The sequence below is a fragment of the Homo sapiens genome, chromosome 2, assembly GCF_000001405.40.
Source record: "Homo sapiens chromosome 2, GRCh38.p14 Primary Assembly".
Classification (NCBI taxonomy): domain Eukaryota; kingdom Metazoa; phylum Chordata; class Mammalia; order Primates; family Hominidae; genus Homo; species Homo sapiens.
In genome coordinates, this window is record NC_000002.12 from 60,455,960 (window position 1) to 60,478,514 (window position 22,555).

At 43.3% G+C, this 22,555-nt stretch overlaps 1 protein-coding gene across 37 annotated transcripts in view, besides 1 other annotated feature; it reads right to left on the reverse strand.

Annotated features, from left to right (window-relative positions):
• BCL11A (BCL11 transcription factor A) overlaps window positions 1-22,555 on the reverse strand; it is a 103,405-nt gene that overhangs the window by 5,440 nt on the left and 75,410 nt on the right. For 9 of the 37 annotated variants that reach the window (NM_001405709.1, NM_022893.4, NM_001405725.1 and 6 more), the window contains 2 exons: window positions 12,773-12,874; window positions 1,235-6,465 (listed from right to left, as the gene is read on the reverse strand). In NM_001405709.1, the coding sequence (NP_001392638.1) occupies window positions 4,445-6,465; window positions 12,773-12,874 (2,123 nt within the window). In that variant the 3' untranslated portion in view covers window positions 1,235-4,444. Of the gene's footprint in view, window positions 1-1,234; window positions 6,466-12,772; window positions 12,875-22,204; window positions 22,281-22,555 lie in introns of those variants that run through there. The other 28 variants (NR_175964.1, NM_138559.2, NM_001405732.1 and 25 more) reach the window with 12 other exon arrangements.
• Window positions 20,523-21,336: an enhancer, noted in NCBI's record as "OCT4-NANOG-H3K4me1 hESC enhancer chr2:60703617-60704430 (GRCh37/hg19 assembly coordinates)". NCBI's record gives its function as "activates a minimal SCP1, AML or CMV promoter by ChIP-STARR-seq in primed H9 embryonic stem cells {active_cell/tissue: H9 hESC(primed)}" and the evidence as "EXISTENCE:reporter gene assay evidence [ECO:0000049][PMID:30033119]".

The following is a 22,555-nucleotide window of genomic DNA, read 5'->3' on the forward strand; positions in this document are numbered from 1 at the left end:
GTACCGCACGCCCACCCCACCCCACCTCCTATGTAATATTCTCCAACATCCTTTCTCAGTGGATTCCTCTAGCCCCACTCTCTCCTTCCCACCCAAACTGGCTTTTCAGAAAACATTGACTTTCTTTATACTTTAGAAAGATAAAACTATTCTTGCCTCAGATAAAAGGCATGACATGAAAAGGCCACCTCACAGGCACTAGGGCATAAGAACTGAGCGACAAAAAATGCTACCACAAGAAGACAACAGAACGGCTTTTGTTTTGGTTTTTTACAAAAATAAGAACAATGTCGTATTCATTCATCTACACTGGGAACAGGGACACGATATCACAGAGGTATGTGTTTAGTAAAGCAAATAGATGCTGCAACATGCAGTATTTGTAAAAGTGACAACACAGATTTCTAAGGATTTTTAAAATAGACCTAACTGGCTGGTCAGAAGATAATTGAAGGGTATTCCCGCCCTTATTTGCTGTCATCCAGGAAGACCCTATCAAAACACCTAAAGTAATCTGTAGCATCTAGGGTTCCTGGGATCTCAGAACCACAAGGCAAACCACTATGCATCTCAGGAAATCAGTGGCTGATTCCAAAGATTTCACTATGTCTGGCTACACCCCTAGTGGCTGCTTTCTTTTCTTTCGTCTCTCTCTTTTTTTCTCCCTCTTTTTTAAACAAAACAAAACAAAACAAAACAAAACCTGATGCCTTTGTTTCCAGATTTTTAGATTTCAAAAGTGGGGTTATTTTGTTATGAGAAAAGACTCTTACATGGAAACCAAAGAGCTGATTTTTTTTAAAAAAATCTTTTTTACATTATGTTCTAAGATAAAGCAAGGATGGGAGAATAGAAAAGAACTTTTAGACAACAAGAACAGCAAAAAATTTAAAGGAAATAAAAGTTTAAGATGCTATTACCAGCAAGTTTTTTCACTTATGTTTGAATGGATTTCTGCTAAGAGATGGAGTAAGTTTTTAACATCAGACTGAAAACACCTTCCATTTCTTGAAAACTATTCTAAACTGGAAAGCCTTAAAACTATGTCCAGGGTTTGAGATATGTCTATTTTAATATAGTAAGTACTTTATGTTCCTTTAGGGTATAATACACGCATCAGAATGCCCATAGAAATAATCCTGAAAAAGACTGACTGGCCTTCTCTTAAAACCTGTTATTTTCTTGCAAGTAATTTACAGAGTGTGTCAAATGAGGACACAAGAAGCTTACAATGTGTACTTTAATTTTTTTTATTTTTTCAATAAAGGGACAAAATGGGTGTATGAACAGGTTAATGCAGACAACTGCCAAAAAAACACAGACAGTGGTTTTTCCAATAGAACTTAACAAAGACCAGAAACAAATACAATAAAAAGCCAGGTTGTAATGACCTTTGGTCATCTAAATAAAAAAAAAAATAAAAACAAAGAAAAATAAAAGATCAAATTAAGTGCCTCTGTTTTGAACAGGGCACATAAGCAATAATAAATAGTGACTCCCATAGTAAAAGATAAAATTTCAAGTTACGACAAACAGCTTTCATTACAGGAATAGAAAAGGCCAATAACAAAATATTCTGCATTGCCATTTACAAAAAAGTATTGACTAAAGCGGGCTTTCTCTTTAATATGCTTTGCATATGAAATTCTTTCCAATCTAAATATAAAGCACCATTTAGTTTTTGGCAATGAAAAAAACTGCAAAACATTGGTTTTTTTTTTTTTTTCCTTTTTTTTTCTTTCTTTCTTTTACTGCATATGAAGGTAAGATGCTGGAATGTAGGGTGATAGAAGGAAAGGGACAAAAAGCACACTACATAACAAACCAACGTTATTAGCTTGCAGTACTGCATACAGTATGGCAGCAGGAAAAAGGAACAAAAAAGGATATGTACAACCCCTATGACAGCCATCCATGTGACATTCTAGCAGGCTCCCCCAAACCGCCATTATATGGCTTCTCATCTGTAATGTCACACTTTTTTGTTTCTCTCTTTTTTTTTTTTTTGAAGCATACAAATAATTTGCACTATATTATCCTGCCAAATTAAAAAAATATACTGTGGCAGCCTGTCTTTTTTTTTTCCACTACCAAAAAAGGTACATTGATACCTTTTAAGAGAACAAGCAACAGTTAAAAATACAAGCTTCAATATAAATACTATAGTGCCTAACACTAGATGAACATTTAATTCAAATACCATTCTAGAAATACAGAAAAAAGACCATAAATGTATTTTAGCATAGGAATCAACATGAGTGTGCATTTTCCTATATTTAAGTACTATATAATCTTAAACCTTTCCCCAATGTATGTTTTTTTTTTTTACAACCTGAAGAGCGGTGTGTATCCAAGGCATAGAATTTCCACTACCATTTTTAAATGGATAACAAGTCTTGTAACACCACCAAGACAATGGAACCCTAAAATGCAGTTCCCCCCTAAACATAATGAAGTGTTTTTTAAAAAAAATTTTTCTTAACATTTATATTTAAAAAAGTTTTGTACAAAAAAATCCTTGCACTGTAGAAGCGAAAGCAATCATTCATTTCTATGTTAAGTGTATTCTGTTTCCATTCACAGCGCTTGCAATGTTGCGTCCAAGTAAGTAAGCTCAATAGTCAAGTAAATGGCTGGCAAAGTTTTTTTTTTTTTAGTTTTTAAAAAATGCTCCTCAATGAGATTGTGTTCAATTTTTTTTCAGCATTCTTGCAACTTTTCCCTTAAGTATAGACCTGTAAACTGGGAAAATTGTACAGTGCACTTAATTGTCCTATCTGAGCAGGTTTATTTTATACTCAACCTCTGTATCTCTGATTAGAGAAAAGATACAGATATCACAGGCAGAGTCAAGTGCTATTTGAACACCAACTGGGGCAGATGCTAGCTTAATAAAAAAGAAAAAATTAAAAAAATAAAAATAAAAACAATGAATCCTCTTCCATGTTAACACAAATAGCACACAGTGTATGGAAAAGAAATGAAGTACAACTTTTAGGGAGCACAGACATATATACTGCTACTCTTAAAATTCTTTCTCTTCTTTTTTTAAGAATGTCACATTTAAATGCAAGTCTTAAGAATTCATAGTTAATCATCATTGTATCAATATTAGCTTATATACCTGTTCTAGTTTTAAATGGCAAATAGTACCACGTTGTGCTAATAAATCATATTATTTTCTTCTGTTCCCCTCTGTCAAACCTTATTGTCAGCCTCTTCCTTTCAATATGGTATACAAGGTCTTAAAGTTTATCATTTGATTGTCCACTTGACAACCAAGTAGATCTGGATCTATTTCTTTTGGTGCCAGTATTTTTAAAAAGACATTATTAAAGCAAATATCTTCATAAAATGAACTCCTTACTAGTGTATTTAATTGCGTTCCAGGGCTTTTGCACATTACACATTCAATTTAATCATTGTTTAAAAAAAATAAAACTTTGGGCAAAACAGCCCATTTCTTTTAAGCTCTCACCAGGAGCAAAGTAGCTTTTATACTGGTATAATCAGTTTTGTTTATAAAATTAAACTAAAGGAAAAATGATGATTAACTAGGACATAATGGGTCATCTTTTTAGGTAGCCATTGTTGTGAGAAATACAATATAGAATTATATGCTAGTTCCTAAGGTTTATTACCTCACCCAATGCTGAATTAAGCTACAAGTTTATAACAAGTAGAAAGAACCATCGATGTGGTTTTAATAGATCCAAGGCACTCATATTTTAAAACCAAATGATAGAATAAACTTGTTCTGTTTTTCTGTTAATTTGTCAATTCAAGGCCTTTTTTCTTCCTTTCCAATTGATACATTTAACCCTTTAGAGACAGACATTTAGCTCATAGAGATTTTTTTTCAGTGCTATCTATTCTGTCTATAGAGGGTTAATCCAAAGACTGTTTTTCCTCCTCACGTTATAAAATAAAACTGTACATGATATGTATTACAGAATGTATGCAGCATGGTCTTTTTCTCTCTCTCTCTCTTTTTCTCTCAGAACGGAACTGGAAACAGCAACATGTTTGCTCAGCAACGAATTAGGGACAATTTAAAATAGCCATAACATACCATACATGCTGTCTAAGTTTAAAAAAAAACATACACAACATGTAAATTATTGCACAAGAGAAAGGCTCAAAGTTTGCGTAAAATGCAATAGTATTGCCCCATACAGATCATGCATTCAAACGGTGAGAACATAAAGGAAAAAAAAAAAAAAGGAAAAAGAAAAAAGAAAAAGAAAAAGAAAAAAAACAGGTGTGCTGGTGACAAGCACTCTCATATTCTTAGCTTCGTTACTTCTGTTTGTTTGTTTGTTTGTTTAAATCACATGGGACTAGAAAAAAATCCTACAGGGAGTGGGGCTGGAGGGCGATGGGGAAGGGGAGTGGTGAAAAAGGGGGTGTCAGGTGGGAGTGAGGGAGGGGTATTAATATACCTCTATTCAGTTTTTATATCATTATTCAACACTCGATCACTGTGCCATTTTTTCATGTGTTTCTCCAGGGTACTGTACACGCTAAAAGGCATCTTACAAATTTCACATTTGTAAACGTCCTTCCCCACCTGGCCATGCGTTTTCATGTGCCTGGTGAGCTTGCTACTCTGGGCACAGGCATAGTTGCACAGCTCGCATTTATAAGGCCTTTCGCCCGTGTGGCTTCTCCTGTGGACAGTGAGATTGCTACAGTTCTTGAAGACTTTCCCACAGTACTCACAAGTGTCGCTGCGTCTGCCCTCTTTTGAGCTGGGCCTGCCCGGGCCCGGACCACTAATATGGGGCGTGCTCCCTCCACTTCCCGTGCCGCTGCGCCCCGAGATCCCTCCGTCCAGCTCCCCGGGCGGTGTGGAGAAGCGCAAACTCCCGTTCTCCGAGGAGTGCTCCGACGAGGAGGCAAAAGGCGATTGTCTGGAGTCTCCGAAGCTAAGGAAGGGATCTTTGAGCTGCCTGGAGGCCGCGTAGCCGGCGAGCCACTGCGAGTACACGTTCTCCGTGTTGGGCATCGCGGCCGGGGGCAGGTCGAACTCCTTCTCGAGCTTGATGCGCTTAGAGAAGGGGCTCAGCGAGCTGGGGCTGCCCAGCAGCAGCTTTTTGGACAGGCCCCCCGAGGCCGACTCGCCCGGGGAGCAGCCGCGGCCATTAACAGTGCCATCGTCTATGCGGTCCGACTCGCCGGCCACCGAGTCTTCGTCGCAAGTGTCCCTGTGGCCCTCGGCCTCGGCCAGGTGGCCGCGCTTATGCTTCTCGCCCAGGACCTGGTGGAAGGCCTCGCTGAAGTGCTGCATGGAGCTGAGCACCATGCCCTGCATGACGTCGGGCAGGGCGCGGCTCTCGTCGCCCACGCCCACGACCGCGCCCCGCGAGCTGTTCTCGTGGTGGCGCGCCGCCTCCAGGCTCAGCCCGAAGCCGTAGTCCACCCTCTCGCTCTCCGTCAGCTCCTCCTCCTCCTCTTCCTCCTCTTCTTCCTCTTCCTCGTCGTCCTCCTCTTCCTCCTCGTCCCCGTTCTCCGGGATCAGGTTGGGGTCGTTCTCGCTCTTGAACTTGGCCACCACGGACTTGAGCGCGCTGCTGGCGCTGCCCACCAAGTCGCTGGTGCCGGGTTCCGGGGAGCTGGCGGTGGAGAGACCGTCGTCGGACTTGACCGTCATGGGGGACGATTTGTGCATGTGCGTCTTCATGTGGCGCTTCAGCTTGCTGGCCTGGGTGCACGCGTGGTCGCACAGGTTGCACTTGTAGGGCTTCTCGCCCGTGTGGCTGCGCCGGTGCACCACCAGGTTGCTCTGAAATTTGAACGTCTTGCCGCAGAACTCGCATGACTTGGACTTGACCGGGGGCTGGGAGGGAGGAGGGGCGGATTGCAGAGGAGGGAGGGGGGGCGTCGCCAGGAAGGGCGGCTTGCTACCTGGCTGGAATGGTTGCAGTAACCTTTGCATAGGGCTGGGCCGGCCTGGGGACAGCGGTGGGCTAGACGTGTTCCCTGCCAGCTCTCTAAGTCTCCTAGAGAAATCCATGGCGGGAGGCTCCATAGCCATTGGATTCAACCGCAGCACCCTGTCAAAGGCACTCGGGTGATGGGTGGCCAGGGCCATCTCTTCCGCCCCCAGGCGCTCTATGCGGTGGGGGTCCAAGTGATGTCTCGGTGGTGGACTAAACAGGGGGGGAGTGGGTGGAAAGCGCCCTTCTGCCAGGCCGGAAGCCTCTCTCGATACTGATCCTGGTATTCTTAGCAGGTTAAAGGGGTTATTGTCTGCAATATGAATCCCATGGAGAGGTGGCTGGGAAGGACATTCTGCACCTAGTCCTGAAGGGATACCAACCCGCGGGGTCAGGGGACTTCCGTGTTCGCTTTCTAAGTAGATTCTTAATCCATGAGTGTTCTGTGCGTGTTGCAAGAGAAACCATGCACTGGTGAATGGCTGTTTGCAAGTTGTACATGTGTAGCTGCTGGGCTCATCTTTACCTGCAAAATAATACAACACCAACATCAATGTTTAATCACTGAGGCGGGCATCAGCAATTGCTTATTTATGTTCCACCTCCAGCCTTCCCTGCCCCCACCCCTCAACCCCAAGGCCTAAGCCCTCACTGACCTACCCCCTGTGCCTGGCACGTCTGAGCATGGGTACCCAGTAAATATTGGTCCAATTGATCTTCCTGCCATTAAACTCAGTTCTAGAAATTTTATATCCAATCCCCAAAGCAGAAAAATCCTGACCAGTTCTGGCTTGAGGATGAAGGTCCCTACATTCTAGGCACCTCAACAAATGTCTTCTAAACTTTCCAGTTCCATCAGCTGTAGTTTGGGGCAAGCCATCTCATCTCCATGTGCCTCTGTTTCCTCCTTGTTAAGTGAGAAACTTGGACAAGGTGACCCAAGGAAACTTTTTGGCTTCCTAAATCCCAGCTTTCTATTCCCCCCTGGGTGACAGGTGAACTTTCTAAATAGGCAAACATTTCATAGAGGTATCAAAAAAGGGGAAGAAGGTCAACTCACTACAATGTTCTATGGCCCTAAAGATGCTTTCAGCATTAGCCTGAAACACACTAATTGTTGATATTGTTAAAATGAGAGGGTACTCATAAAATACTTCCGTGGAAAAAAGACTAGCAACATTCTCACACCCCAGACTGTGGGAGGATCAGTGAGTCCCAATTTTGGTTCCACAACACCCCATGGGGACGTCCATTTTTATCTCAAAGAATGTTTAAAAAATCTGAAAGAAAAACTTCATTCAGATTTAACGGATAGGCTGTATCCAATCTTTAGGAGTTGTCCCCCGGTCAGACAAATGCAAGTCTGGAAAAGTTAGGAGGAGTGGCTGGTGCCGACTTAAGCAGACACAGCATCCTAGTTTAAGGAACAGTTAAAACAGCCAGCGCCATGACAGGCAGCAGGCTGAGAAATGCTACACTATCCTCCTCCTCATTGTTTTGAGAGGCTAACAACGTGAACCAAATTATACAACATCCTGCGCCCTCGGCTGGGACTCAGCTCCAGTTGAGAAAGAAACAGAAAGATACAGTTCAGCTAGTCAACTCTGGCCAGTAGCCAAGCCGTCTGGAGAGGGGCCCTGCTTAAGTCACATTATTTCCCTTGCTGAAAAGAACCCAAGAGTGGTAAATGCCACTTTGGCAAAGAAGGGCCAGCTTGACTTCACAAAATATTTCATTTGGGGAGATGGCTAAATTAAATATATATGGGGAGATAGCTACATTAAATATATATATATATGGAATAACTGACCAACAGTTTACTAGTCAACTGCAACATTAAAAAGGGCAGAAGTAATGGTAGCCAAAGGACGAGGATGAGAAAAACAAAACTTCCCAGAGATTCTGAAAAAAAAAGCCTTAAAATATAACTGAGAAATAACAAACTTTTCTCCTTCTTTTAAAAGAAGGGCTGCAAGAGTTCTTTAAGGCCACAGCTAGTATTTGTCAGTAACTTTCTAAGAAGGAAAAAAAAAAAAAATCTACCAGGGAGGTTAAGAGTGAGAATGAGGAATTAATCAATTATATGATGCCTCCATTTAGCAAGTCAGAAAGAAAAGCCGGCAGGGTCTTCTCAGGAGCCCCCAAACACTGGTATTCCAAAATAAGCCAGCCTCGCTCAAGCACTTGTCTAAATAATGGACTCCTGCCCTGACCTTGTAATTTACTTTACAACGCATTTATAATCCCACTCAATATATCTCACTCCTGGGTAAATCTCTTAAACAAGATTAGATGGTAAGATACCAAAATTAGGTTTCAAACATTTGTCTAATGTGGAAGGGGGAAAAAAGGCAGAAAGATTTTGAAAGAAAACGCTGACATTAGTATCACATTATCTGCCTATTTTTGTTTGCCTCCTCTCTTCAAAGGGAAATAAAAAGCTTCATTGAGAACATTTTTATAAATTTTTTGTTGTTGTTGAACAATAACTTGGGTCCCAAATAGGCTGGAAAAAAAACTATCTGGTTCCAACTACATGATCCTCTGTGGCTTCCTCCTTGTCCTCCCTAGATCTCTGGGTGACTATCATTCCTATTTAGCCTGACGATCTGAGTTGGGCAAGTAAAAAGATTTGTCTGATAATCCAAGTCCTTAACACGTTCATCACTCCAAATGCCTTAAAATTATATTTTACCTTATAAAACATCGATTGAAATCCAGGACTAGACTCATAATTAGTGGTGCTGGTTTCACATGTGCCATGAATTGTAGTCATTGATAAATGCCAAAATCTGTGGCATACAGCACTACATCAAGGATCTCATTTGTATCCTTTCAAAAAGGCTTAAATGAGAAAAGTCCATTTTATTTTGCTGCCCTGAGCATCCTAAACTTTTTTTCAGAGCCAGTTATGTGATCATGCTACAGTATGTTAACACTGTGATGTTATCCTCCCCTCTCTCTCATACATCAGGTCAGAGAAAATGGCATTTTATCTTATAATGAGCATACAACATACAGTTTTCACTATCGCATTTTAGTATTCCCATCAACTAGATATTCTAGATCATGAGGGCAGCTAGTGTAATCATAATGTCAATGAGAAGGGCTGTTACGATTGAGACTAAAGATTACATGGAGAGAGCTGCTTTGAAACTGGTAATTATTACCAGTCCACTAATAGCAAATGATGCATTACAATTTCACCATATAATCTGTATTTCACTCAGCTCATGCCGGTGTACCATATTATATTACAGTGCTCACAGATTCTAAATTCCTAAACTGCAGTCATCAATAAATGTGTTACTTGCCATAATTTGTGAAATTACTTTGTTCATAACATCTTTGATGATTTAGAAAGACTGGAATTGATTTCCTGTGTGGCAAAATTAGGGCTACATTGATTTATTGATGTGTAAAATATAATAATATTCTTCATTTACTCTGATGAAAATCAACTTCTCAATTTGAGAGCCTCATTGGGCATTTACGGGGATTGTTTTGATTTAGAGCAATAAACTGACACCTGGCCCCTAAGCATAGGAACTTGAGACATCAAAAGGGTTAAAATCAGCTATTAGCCCACCTACTGGCTTTTATTTTATTTCATTTTACTTTATGGGAAGGAATGACCCCCATTTCTAGTATGTCACCAATGTGAAAAAGTCATGTGATCTAAGCCTCAAGATTCAGAAGAACAAGGAGGTCTGAGACTGGAGGCCTAGCTCTATTATCCACTAGATTGTAACTCTGGGATAGTCATTTGATTTCTCTGAGTCTTGGAATTCCTATCTGTAAAATGAGCATAAAAACAGTACCTGTAAGAATTGTTGGGAAGTTCAAATGACAGAAGTATATAAAAGCCCTCTGTAAACTATCAGGTCGAATGTGAATGTGAGTTTTCATTACTACCAGGGGTGATTAATTACTGAGGGTAATGACTAACCACATTACACACCCCGAACGGCTTCCAGAGGAAGGTCCCAGTCCAGGCCTTAACCCAGGCCAAAAGGAGGCTCTAGTTAAAGAGCAGGGGTGACTGGCACACAGCAGAGTGGCCACAGGGAAGTGCTATGAGCTCTGGAAGCCAGGGGCAGCAGGTTAATGCCGCCAAGTGGAATGGGCATCAGGTTTGTTCTAGAGCTTTCTGGACCCCCACAACCCACTTCCACATACCTTGTTCTGGTCACTCCTAAATTGGTCCTGCCAGCAGGGGCACCAGCAAACTATGTACCCTCCCTTTGTGGGAAGGTGGGAGAGGACAGGGGTTCCCTATCAAGCTCAGACTTTCCTACCAGTCAAATCAAACTCCCAGCCCTCAGGAAGACCAGGCTGAAGACCGAGAACTATGTTTCCCTGGCAACAGCCCTTGGCCTCTCAACTCCACCCTCCTCTGAACTGCTCAACTCCCTTCTATCCCTTCCCTCCAAAAGTGGCTCCGTTTCCACAGCCCCATGCAGGCCCCAGATGCCCCCAGCAACAGGAGAGCTCTCCCCACCCAGCCAGCATGCAGGGACTAGAAACCGTGAGCCCAACCTCCTAAACCTTCTGCAATCTGTGACCTAACCCAGGCTTAGGCCCAGCTTGGGGGAAGGGAGCAGATGAGGTGCTTTTAACCCCTGAACCACCCAGCCCTCAGGACCTGAGGGCTTATGAAATTCACACAATAACTCTTTGTTACCTAGGATTACCTAGGAGTTAACAAAAATAAACAACTGGCTTTGAATCTGGTCTCAGGGTGCATGCCCTGCTCTTCAGATACCATTTACAAGATGGGTAAGTGTCATCTCCCTCCCATCTAAAAACAGTCCCCCTTAGAGCCTTAACTCTGGCATCTTGCTCTTTGTTATTCTCTCTCCATGACCTTTTTCCTTTTCTTTTTTTTTCTTTCCACAGCAGGTTATTTTTCATTTACTTTCAAATAAAAATTAGATGTCACACTTCTTTTCTTCTTGAACCTGCTTTTTTGTGTTTAGGGTGGAATCACTGCCCACCCCCTAACCTTTTAGCCATGCATGATTCATACCATGTGTTCCTACACAGAGAAGCAAACTGTATTATTTTCTAAAACAGTATCTTTCAGAAAACATTTGTATAAATGGACAAATTTAAGTTTCATAAAATGGTCCCTACTATAAAAGCTCACTTGAACAAGTAAATGGTGGTGGCAGTGGTGGTGGTGGTGGTGGTGGTGATGATGGTGGTGGTAGTGGTGGTGGTGGTGGTGATGGTGGTGTTGGTGGTGATGGTGGTGGTGGTGGTGGTGATGGTGGTGGTGGTGGTGGTGATGGTGGTGGTGATGGCGGTGATGGTACTGGTGATGGTGGTGGTGGTAGTGATGGTGGTGGTAATGGTGGTGGTGGTGATGGTGGTGGTGGTGGTAGTGATGGTGGTGGTAATGGTGGTGGTGGTGATGGTGGTGGTGGTGGTAGTGATGGTGGTGGTAATGGTGGTGGTGGTGATGGTGGTGATGATGGTGATGGTACTGGTGGTGATGGTGATGGTGATGGTACTGGTGATGGTGGTGGTGGTAGTGATGGTGGTGGTAATGGTGGTGGTGGTGATGGTGGTGGTAATGGTGGTGGTGGTGATGGTGGTGATGATGGTGATGGTACTGGTGGTGATGGTGATGGTGATGGTACTGGTGATGGTGGTGGTGGTAGTGATGGTGGTGGTAATGGTGGTGGTGGTGATGGTGGTGGTGGTGGTAGTGATGGTGGTGGTAATGGTGGTGGTGGTGATGGTGGTGATGATGGTGATGGTACTGGTGGTGATGGTGATGGTGGTGGTGGTGGTGATGGTACTGGTGGTGATGGTACTGGTGGTGATGGTGGTGGTGGTAGTGATGGTGGTGGTAATGGTGGTGGTGGAGATGGTGGTGTTGATGGTGATGGTACTGGTGGTGATGGTACTGGTGGTGATGGTGATGGTGGTGGTGGTGGTGATGCTACTGGTGGTGATGGTACTGGTGGTGATGGTGGTGGTGGTAGTGATGGTGGTGGTAATGGTGGTGGTGGTGGTGGTGGTAGTGATGGTGGTGGTGGTGATGGTACTGGTGGTGATGGTGGTGGTGGTAGTGATGGTGGTGGTAATGGTGGTGGTGGTGATGGTGGTGGTGGTGGTAGTGGTGGTGATGGTGGTGATGGTACTGGTGGTGATGGTGGTGGTGGTAGTGATGGTGGTGGTTGTGGTGGTGGTGGTGATGGTGGCAGTGGTGGTTGTGGTGGTGGTGGTGATGGTGGTGGTGGTGGTGGTGATAGTAGAGCCTTCACATTTTAACTACAATGATGTGCATTTTTCTCTAAAACCAGGAGAAAAATTAGTCAAAATTATGTGTGGGCATGAATATACAACATATACTATGTTCAAATACACATGTAAATACATAAGGAATATGCATTGGAATAACTCTGGAATAACCCTAAACTGACTCCTTTTGATTCTGGCCTTGGCTAAAGATGTGTGCCATGGACTATACCCAAAGTCCTAAATGAGGCCACAGGAGTGAATGTCCAGTAATAAAATGGGCTCCAGAGGCACAGGCATCTTCAATCACTAGCCACGGAGCAAGACAAGACCCTGGGGAGAAGACCCACAGGGATGAGCTACTATCAGCTCCCAGCCTCCAGTGAGGAAAGAAAAAGGGGAGGGAAGAAGTCCCTCTGGGGCTGAGTGGAGTGGGGAGCGGCTGCCAAGTGAGTAATGGAATAATACATATGACAATCTATTTTGGAAGTAACTCCTTCAGTACTTAAAAAGTAAGGGCAATTTCCAGAAATTCTCATCTCTATACACATGGACATTTGTAGAAGAAATAAGGCTCAACTTACAAATACCCTGCGGGGCATATTCTGCACTCATCCCAGGCGTGGGGATTAGAGCTCCATGTGCAGAACGAGGGGAGGAGAGGCCCCTCCAGTGCAGAAGTTTATCTGTGAAAGAAACCCAAAATCAAGCACTACAGCTACAAACAACGTGCATCATAAACCACAGGATATCACATTTCAATTCCATTAAAATAGATTACAACATCATTACAACAGCCTTGCAGATAGTTAACAGGCCCAAGGCCTGAAACAAAAGAAGAGTGGTGAGTTATTTCCCAGAGTTTCTGTTTTGTTTTCAATTTCGGTCTTTTTGACAAAAGTGAAAGGGTTTGTTTTAGGAAAGGGGAGAGGTGGTCTTTGGTTCATTTGCTTATTTATTTGTTGTTGTTTGATTATTGTCTTGTGGAAAGAAGATGTGTAAGCAGCAAGGGGAAAACTGGTAATATTGTGGGTAGCCTGGAAACATGGGGGGATTTTATCTGCAAGGCTGGTTTACATGCATACATTAACTTTACTTTATAGACAAACCCAAGCAAAAAGCAAAATGCTGATAGGAAATGAGTAGATTTGTGAATCGTTTTTTATGGGACAGAGTCCCACTTTGCTTTCTCTGTCCCTCTGCCCCCCTCTTCCCATGCTATATTTATGATAGCGCCTTCAGTGATAGGGGAAACCTGGGCATTTCTGGACTGAGCTGGGCCATACTCTAGAATCCTGTCAACTGGAAACCTTACACAGATGTGGCTTCTCACAATACAAAGCAATGGAAGATAAAGATTAGACTTCTGGGGTCCAAATAACTTTGACCATTAAATGACAAGGAAAGAACCAGCATTCCAATAATGCCAGCACCCAGAAACCCTGACCCATCTTCACCATTTTACTGCACTTTGTTGTACTCTGGTGAAGACAAGTGACTTCTCACACTAATAAAATGAATCTAATAGTCAATGAAACATTTGTAGCACTGAGATTTTTTTGAGAAGAGGAAAATTTGGTTTGTGCAATCTGGGGATTTTACGGTTTATGTGGTAAGTGCCTAGCTTTTCCAAGTCCTCCTCTAGCTAACTAACCATGTAGCTGTCCATCTTGAGACAGACTGGAGGATAGATGGTGCAGGAGACGCTCTGTGTGTTCTAGAGGTTTGGAGTTCATGATGATTGGGGAGGGCGGGAGACAAGAAAAACAGACTTTGATGGTGAACAAACAGTATGTTTTCCATTAGCTTAATATTAAGAGCACTTAGAAGTGTTGTTGTTGTACTCTAGGATAGCAGGTCTCAAGTGTAAAATACATCCTGTTCTCCTTATATAGAGCACACTGCCAAGCACAGCCAAGGCAGTTGGGACAAGATTTCCTTTCGCAAGGAGCCTGGTGGGTAACGATGGTGTGCTGCTGAGAAGGCTCTTACACAGACAGCATAGGTCTGCTGTTACCAGGCCTGCAGAGGGAAGCCCTGGTGGAAGCACCACCTAGCCTGAGAACATCTACAGAGACATTTCATCCTCTCTGACCCAAAACAAAATAAACACCACAAAGTGAACCAACACAAGCAGGAAGACCGGACTTAACAAACAAGTATGTCTACATTTGACTGTTTACGTCAAGTGAATTGAGAGTGTGGCGTAAAATTACTACAGATTTTGTCATGGTATTTTTCAATGAGAAATCTGAGAATCCATCTTTGCACTTGTTTTTGCCTCAGCCGTTCACTAAGTTTGCTGCCAAAACAGACATCCTTTTCTTAGGAAACACAGGCAACCCAGGTATCTCTGTGATCCCAGCATAAACGCAACAGGTACTTGGATCCTTGTATGGGGAGTATCAAATTTCAAATTCTCTGCCACTTACTCTGGGAAGAGACCCTGAAGTGCTTCAGCAGGCCTCCAGCAAGAAATGGGAGAACTGCTAACCTAATCCATGCCTAGCCCCTCGCATGAATCTCTTGTTGGCAAACTTGTCTACAAACCCATTAGCCCTAAACAAGCTGACGGCAGGACCAGATCTCTACAGTGTCTGGCCGTGTGGCAAAGTGAGGTCTCATCTGACTATCTGGCAGCATAGTTTGTTTTTGTTTTTGTTTTTGTTTTTGTTTTCTAAGTTGTAAAAAACCCTAGCTATCATCAAGTCTGTCCCTTCATTTTACAGATGGGGAAACTGAGGCCATGAGAAATTAAGTGACTTGCCCATGGCTACACTGATGATTAACCACAATGTGAAGATTAGAATTAATCTCCTGACTCCTGATCCAGTGGTCTTTCCTGGGAATTTGTCTCTTCCCCCCTGCTGCTCCTGCCGTGGTCTTCACTGCCCAACAAGAAGGTCCTGTTTCTACTGATCCATTAAGCAGTACTTAACCGTCTTGGGGGAGGGTCCAGCCCAGCAGCGCTACATGGGGCTTTCGAAAGGTGCCAATGAACTGACTTGGTCTCACAATTGGAAAACAAGGCCTGCTCTGCTGCCTGGGCCTCCTGGCCTCACCTTTGCTGTGTTCACCCTCTACCTCTGCTTCCCCTGCAGAATTAGACAGCTAAAAACATTTCTATCAGCCTAAGAAGCTATTTACTTTAGAAAAAAAGCACACTGTCTTTGTGAGACTCACCCTTGCATTTATCTTCCTTCAGGAAGAGGGTCAAAGCAAAGCCAACTGGGGACCCCAGCTGATTCTGCTGCTTCTTCCACTAAACACATCCATAATATTCTCTTTGGTAAGTAAAATCGACATTCCCACATGAACTGGAAATGCTAAATTGTTAATAGCCTCCCTAGGGCTTAACTTCTTGCTATGATGCCTTCAATTATTTCATCACGGCTTAGGCAAAGTAAAGTATCACAATTAATGCTTCTGAGCGTCAAACTCGAGGAGCAGCTCTGCCTTCCCAGGCCAAGGTGGGGAAAAGGAGCTGCCCCTGGTTGAGGGCCTCTTCTTTTCCCACCTTCGCTTTCATTCTCCCCAGCCAGAGATGGGCTCTGGTTGCTGGCTAGGAAGTGGGTGATCTAGTTATGTCCTCTTTTTTTCTTTGTTAGTGCTCTTAGGCAAGTGATTCTCACAGCGCAGACCCAGGCCCACCCCCGATCAGCATCACCTGGGAGTTTGTTCAAAATGCAAATTCTTGGGCACCACCTCAGACTTACTGAATCAGAAATTGAGGGTGGGGAAGCAGCCTTCTATGTTGAATAAATTCTCCAGGTGATTCTCATGCACACTCAAGCTGAATCAGCACTGCTGTCTTAGGGTAAGGGAAGTATGAACGCTGGAAGCTTTGAAATTCCCTGGGCAGAGACCCATGGGCCATGAGGCTGTTTTCCCTCCTGTCCAGGACCCACCTCCTTTAGGACTGGAACAGTCAAAAACAAATTAAGCTTAGGGAATCCCTAAGGATCCCTCCATTAGGAAATTCAGGTTCCACCCTCCGTCTGTCATTGATAAGGACAGGGAACAGGTCCAGGCTCTCCATCAGGTCCAGGGCCTTCTTAGCATGAGACAACACCCAAACCAGCTTGTGCCAGACAGATTGTGTCCTCACTGCTTCCATTAAAGCCGACATGTCAGCGAACGCAGCTGTGGCAACTGCACGGACACAGCAGGAACTGGACTCTTGTTTCCCTTTCTGGTCTCTCAAATGGGACACATTTCCCTTTTCTGACTCAATCTTTTTTCAAATGTCTTACACTTTTCTGGTGGAAGGTGTTTCAACCTGTTCTATTTCATAAAGGTCTCTCTAGACCCAGTATTTCCACTTGGGGCCTCAGAAATGCCTTACACATTATTAGGTTGCAAAGTTTCCTTATGGCTGAATTTAAAAATAGTGACTCTTATTTTTCAGGTTTCATTAAAAAATATGCAGCAAACTGGGAATGGCTTTGATTTAATGTTATACATTTGGTCACTTTACATTTCTACATATATTGGGTACCAACTTTTGACAAAGAGCTCTAAGCCCAGTGGGATGTTCCTGGAATTTAAGTCATTAAATCAAGTTTTTTGGTTTCCTCAAGAACATCTCAAAGATTCCTTGACTATTAACATGCTATTTGTTTCTGAAACTAATCACTGGGTGTGTAATACAGCCACATTACTGTCTACTAATCAACAGGTAATACTGCAGATTTCCAAATGTGCCAAAACAGCTAAGCAAAAAGCATCATTCCAACACGTTTAATGACTGCTTTGGGAGCCCAACTTTAACAGGTATTAAAACCACAGGACTCTCCACAGGAGTACATAGATGTGTGCTATTCACTAAAATGTACGTGTGTGTGTGTTTGCAAGCATTTATGTGTACATATGTGTGTTAGCGTGTGCATGCATATGTGTTTGTGAGCATGTGCATGTGTGTATATTGTGACTGTGTGCATGTGTGTGTATGCTTGTGCATGTGTTAGCATGTGCATGCACATGTGTGTTAGCGTGTTCATGTGTGTGTATATGTGAGTGTGTGCATATGTGTCTGTGTACGTGTGTGAATGTGTGTATATTTCCTAAACATATGTTTTTAGATAATTTCCCTGTTTTTTTTTTTTTTTCAGTGAGACAGGCACAAAAGCAGTAGAGCTGTCCCACGTGGAATGGGCTATCTCGTGACACTGTGACCCCCTTTCTTTCACCCTGGGTCTTCAAAAAGAGAATGGATGACACTATGATGAGGAGGGGTCTCTATATTGGTGACAGGCCAAAATACAGGACTACCTACAGTCCTTTCGCAGTCCATAATCCTCAAGTCCCTCAGCTCTTCCATGTACCACCTTCTAGACTACACTTAAAATGCATCCTGAACGTTTGTAAAGTACCCTGAAGGAACCCATTCCAGTTCTGAATCCGATTACTAGGTTCAAGCCACACAAATAACAACAGTGCAGCTAGTCTGAGCTAGAGGCTTCTTTACCTAACTGCAAAGTAAATGTCCTTTCTATTCAGCCGCATCTAGCTCTTGACCCTATGTTTACCATAGATACCAGTTCTTCTCACTTAGATTCTCTGACTTATCAGAGTATTATAGAGCAAACATTAGCTATGCCTGTGACTTGAGTTGTGTCAATCTGTAATGAAAATGTGCCAGCTTTATCATCACTCACAGACTTCTTAATTAACCTTCTGATATTGTCAAAATCGCACTCTCTTTTGTTCTAGAAATGAGCATTTACATGTGCATTTTTTTTCCTTCATTGCTTTTTTACTGGCTGTTTTACCAAATCCTGATGTTCTTTAAAAAGTGTATTCTGCAAAAACAAAAGAAAGCAATAATTATAGACACTACAATATAGAATTTCTTCCCTGAAACTCTCTCATGGTCCTTAGATTCCTTGATACTTCACCAGTGACTTTAATAACATCAATCACTCATTTTAAAACTCTTTTTTGATCAATGCTATCCTCTTAGAGCCTTGATTACTCAAACAACAGGTTACTAACTTCACCTTTTAAGAGTTCTCCTCCTAGGCTTTTTCTCAATAAAGGGAGGAAGTAGAGATGACATTTTGCGTGCCCCTTTATCTATAAAAATGCCAGCCACCAATCTGTCAGGCCTAAACAAAATTTTTCTGCAAGCTGTGTCTTTAACATAAGCAAAGCATATAATTCCAAAAAAAAAAAATCTTGCTTTTCTGAAAAGCAACTAAGCCAAAGACATTGTGTTCCATCTTTGTGTTGAAATGCAGATTTCCCACTAAAAGGCAAATCCTTCATTTCAAAAGGTTGAATAGGATGGTACTTAAAAAAAGAATTCCAGCTGGTTAAATTTAGGGTGTTAAAAAAAGTTCACTCCAATAATATTCTTTGGCTCTGGGCCCAAAGTATTTTCACTTGATCGTGAATTAGATAAATTTTTATTACACTTTAAGCTTTTGCCTTAGAATGGCGGAACTTATCTAGGAGACTGAGAGGGCAGCTGCATAAAAAGACAAATTGTCTTAGGACAATTTTTTTTTGTTTGTTTAATCACATACCTCACTATGCAAAATGTGTGTTCCCAGGATAAATTCCATTCATTCATTCTCTCATGCATTCATTCAACCTCTCATGCATTCATTCAACAAATATTTACCGAGTGCCTACAATGCCCAAAGCAATGGGCTAGCCGCTGTGGGCAGTACAAAGAAAACACGGACACAGATTTCTCCCACAGCAGGCTTCATTTAGTAGAAAAGGTAAGGCCTGCACAGAAATTGCTCTACCCCCATGTAGAAAGTGTGTCATGAGAGAGGTACAGATGAGCTGCTATGGAAATTCAAAGGAAGAGAAATTATTTCCATTTGGAAGGGAGGGAGAGAGGCTTTGGGAAAGAGGAAAACTTATGAGTTAAACCTGGAGAGCCAAGAGAAAGGATATCCTAGATAAAAAGAAAAAGCAGGTAAAGATGCTTAGAGAGAAGCAAAGCCCAAGGTGGGCACAGAGTAAATGGGGCCCAATAGGCGGTTACATTCACATCAAAATATTGCACACTGATTCATCCAGTTGACAGCGGAGGATACGACCATCTAAATAAATCCTCTGAAGATTTCTGTGACATCTTCAGCTTTCACAAGTGCGTATTTTCCAATTTCACATTTTCTGAAAATAAGGGACACAACCATGTGGACTCTTGTGAAACTCCATGAAGGTTCATCTGTTCTGTTTTCCCCCCACCTCAATTGTTTCTTCCCCCAATGAATGTGGGTGGCCCGCTAAGGCAAAATTTACTATGTTTTATTCCTCTGAGTCAGACAAACAAGTGTTGATAGCCATGTTCTTCCTTGCAATACTGCCTCCCTGGCTTAAATAATCTATTTCAGATGTCTCATTGCCAGTTTAAGATGGGCTTGTACTTGCTGACACATTTTCAACAAATGACTGTGCAAGAAACATTGAGATTTTCCTACACTACTTTGTCTCTTCAATCATCAACTTGACCATCCCTCCAAATTTCCCCTCTTTCTTCTTTTCAAAGCCATGGGGAGGATAGGGGTGCCCTTACTCCTGCTCTGAGTCCTCAGCTGAGGATCTTGTTTGTGTGTAGTGGGGGCAGGGGGAGGGGTGTAGCCTTGCCTCTATCCGAGGTATTTATCAGGTTATTTGGGAGCTACTTTCAGAGATGCCCTTGCTCTATGTATTCCCACTGCCACCACTCCCCGGATTCTTTTCTTCCTTTAGGAAGCAGGGACTTGTTCCTCTGGAGAGACTGCTAGAGGAAAGTCAGGAACCTAAGTTCTGCAACCCCAACTCTGCCACTCACCAGCTGTTTCGTGACTTTGAATAAATCCTTTCTTTCTGGCCCTAAGTGTTTCCATCTTTAAAAGGAGAAGACTGGATTAGATGGGGTGGCTTCTCTCTCCTGCCTCCCATGCAAGTCCAGGCCTCCTTTGGACCAACCAAGAGACCTACTATAGGCCGTGCTAGAAGCTGGCCAGGATACACCTGTTCCCCTCATGACCTTGACCTGGATGAGGAGGGCCTTATAGGAGAGTTCAGGGCTGGGCTTGGTCCCCAGGCTAATCCTTAGGCTTAGAGAGTGAGCCTGATGATGGATTTCAACCTCCTGGGACACAGTCTTGCAAAGTTTACATGTCTGAGCTTCAAGGAGGAAACCTAGGTGTGTCCTGAGCCAATGAGACTGAAGGTCAGAGAACCAGGAAGAAACTTCCCCAAACCCAGGCTAAATGTCAAGGGAAAAGGTCTCAGTGGCTCATGCCAGAAGTCCAGTAGCAAAGCTCGGCCTCATGCCAGAGCCTGGCACCCATTGCTCACAAAGGCACACACAGGACTCTAAGAAAAGGGAGTCCTCTCCCCAGCCACCACAAACCAGGACAGCAAAGCCCAGCACCCTGTGGTCCTTGACCTCCCACCACACCCCATCAGCATGGAGGGTTCTTGGAAAGCCATGTGTAAAATGAATTTCTGTAAAATAAATCATATTTGCTAACCAACATAATTTCAGAGATGTTTCGTCACCCTTCCAGGCTCATTGAAAATTGGCAGGGCTTCTAACATTTTACCTTTTAAGTGTGTCTTCCTTCCCCCAACCCCCAATATCCTCTCTGTCAAGTAGTTAATGATCTGTAAACAAACACTTTAAATTCAGTGGGGGAGCTCACTATTTAAAGAAACCCTGTGGTGAAACCTTTTGAAAAGTTAACAATCTTTCTGTAATGTGAAAAATCACTCTCTAATTTATCAGTTTCCATTAATGAGATTTTTGTGTGTATTGGGCCTTCTGAAAGTGGGGCTCAACTGCAATCCATGCCTTTGTAGTTAGAAGGGACGATAAAAGACACTGCCCTGAACATATTTCTGTCACCCGAATTGTCCAGCTTCACACAAACGTATCACAAACACCCCGATGCCTCCCTGCCCCACTCGAGAAATGAAGAAAAGGATGGGAAATCATCATTTGGACACCTGGAAAGCCTTGCAAACCACACTTGCGTTTCTCCCAGGTTAAGTATTAGATACCTGAGGAAGGTGAAATACGCATTTTCAACTGAGCATTCAGGAAGAGGCATGGGGCTGTGAAGATGGATGCGATGAGAATGATCATTTGCAAACGTTTGATTCTGATAACACCTGCCAGAGCAGAGAAGGGCTTGTCTATCAAAGCCAGCAGAACACACAACTCCCAAATTACTCTGAAGACCACCCCAAGCCTTTTTATCTGCATCAACTCACAACAAATGTGCTTTATGCCTCTATATTATCATTTCGATCGGTCTTGAGAAAATACTAGAATAAGCTAAAGAAAACCAAACATGGGTGGAGGGGCAAGGGGAGGGATAGCATTAGGAGAAATGCCTAATGTAGATGATGGGTTGATAGGTGCAGCAAACCACCATGGTACATGTATACTTATGTAACAAACCTGCACATTCTGCACATGTATCCCAGAACTTAGAGTAAAATAAATAAAGAAAGAAAGAAAGAAAGAAATAATCAAACATGGTGTTTCCAAGAGACTCCTGATGTTTTGTTCGTGGGCACTGTGGAAACAGGGGCAGTGGTGCTGTGAGAGACAAGGGAGTGGGGAGCCATGGTCAGCAAGTGTGGGCAGCCCCAGCGACACTGCAGCCCGGCCAGGTGGAGGGCTTTCCTGACTTATCATCCAAGACTGGTCTGTGCACGGAGAAGGGGCCAGAAGAACAGGCAGCCCCAGGAAGGCTCTGTCAGGCCTCCCCCAAGGCCAACAAGCCCAGAGGAGGGCAAGGCCTCCAACTCTAGCCCTTCTTAAGGAAGCACATCTGTCCTGGCCTTTATGGAAAGCTTTTTTTTTTTTTTTTTTAATTGAGACATGGTCTCACTCTGTTGCCCAGGCTGGAGTGCAGTGGTGCAATCTTGGCTCACTGCAACCTCCGCCTCCCGAGTTCAAGCAGTCCTCCTGCCTCAGCTCTCAAGTAGCTAGGACTACAGGCATGCGCCACCACCACACCTGGCTAATTTTTGTATTTTTTGTAGAGATGGGATCTCACCATGTTGCCCAGGCTGGGTGGAAAGTGTTATGTTCTTCCCAAAGTACTCTCCTCACATCCTGCCCCAACAGTCGCCCTGTGGAATGAGGGAAGGTATTAGCCTCACCTCCCAGTGAGGAACTCGAAGATCTCAGAAGTGTCCTGCTGTGGACAGGGAGGACAGGGCTGGGCTTCAGGACCCTGCCCACCTTCTGACAAACCCCTCCCACTGCCACCTCAGGGCCGCGGCAGAAACCTGTCGTCTGGACACTGGTCATACAGCCCCTTTCAGGCAATCTCCTCACTTGCCTTTCTGGCACTATTGAGTGACTGGTGTGTGGACTTCAGGGGAAGCGTGGAAGGCACTTCACA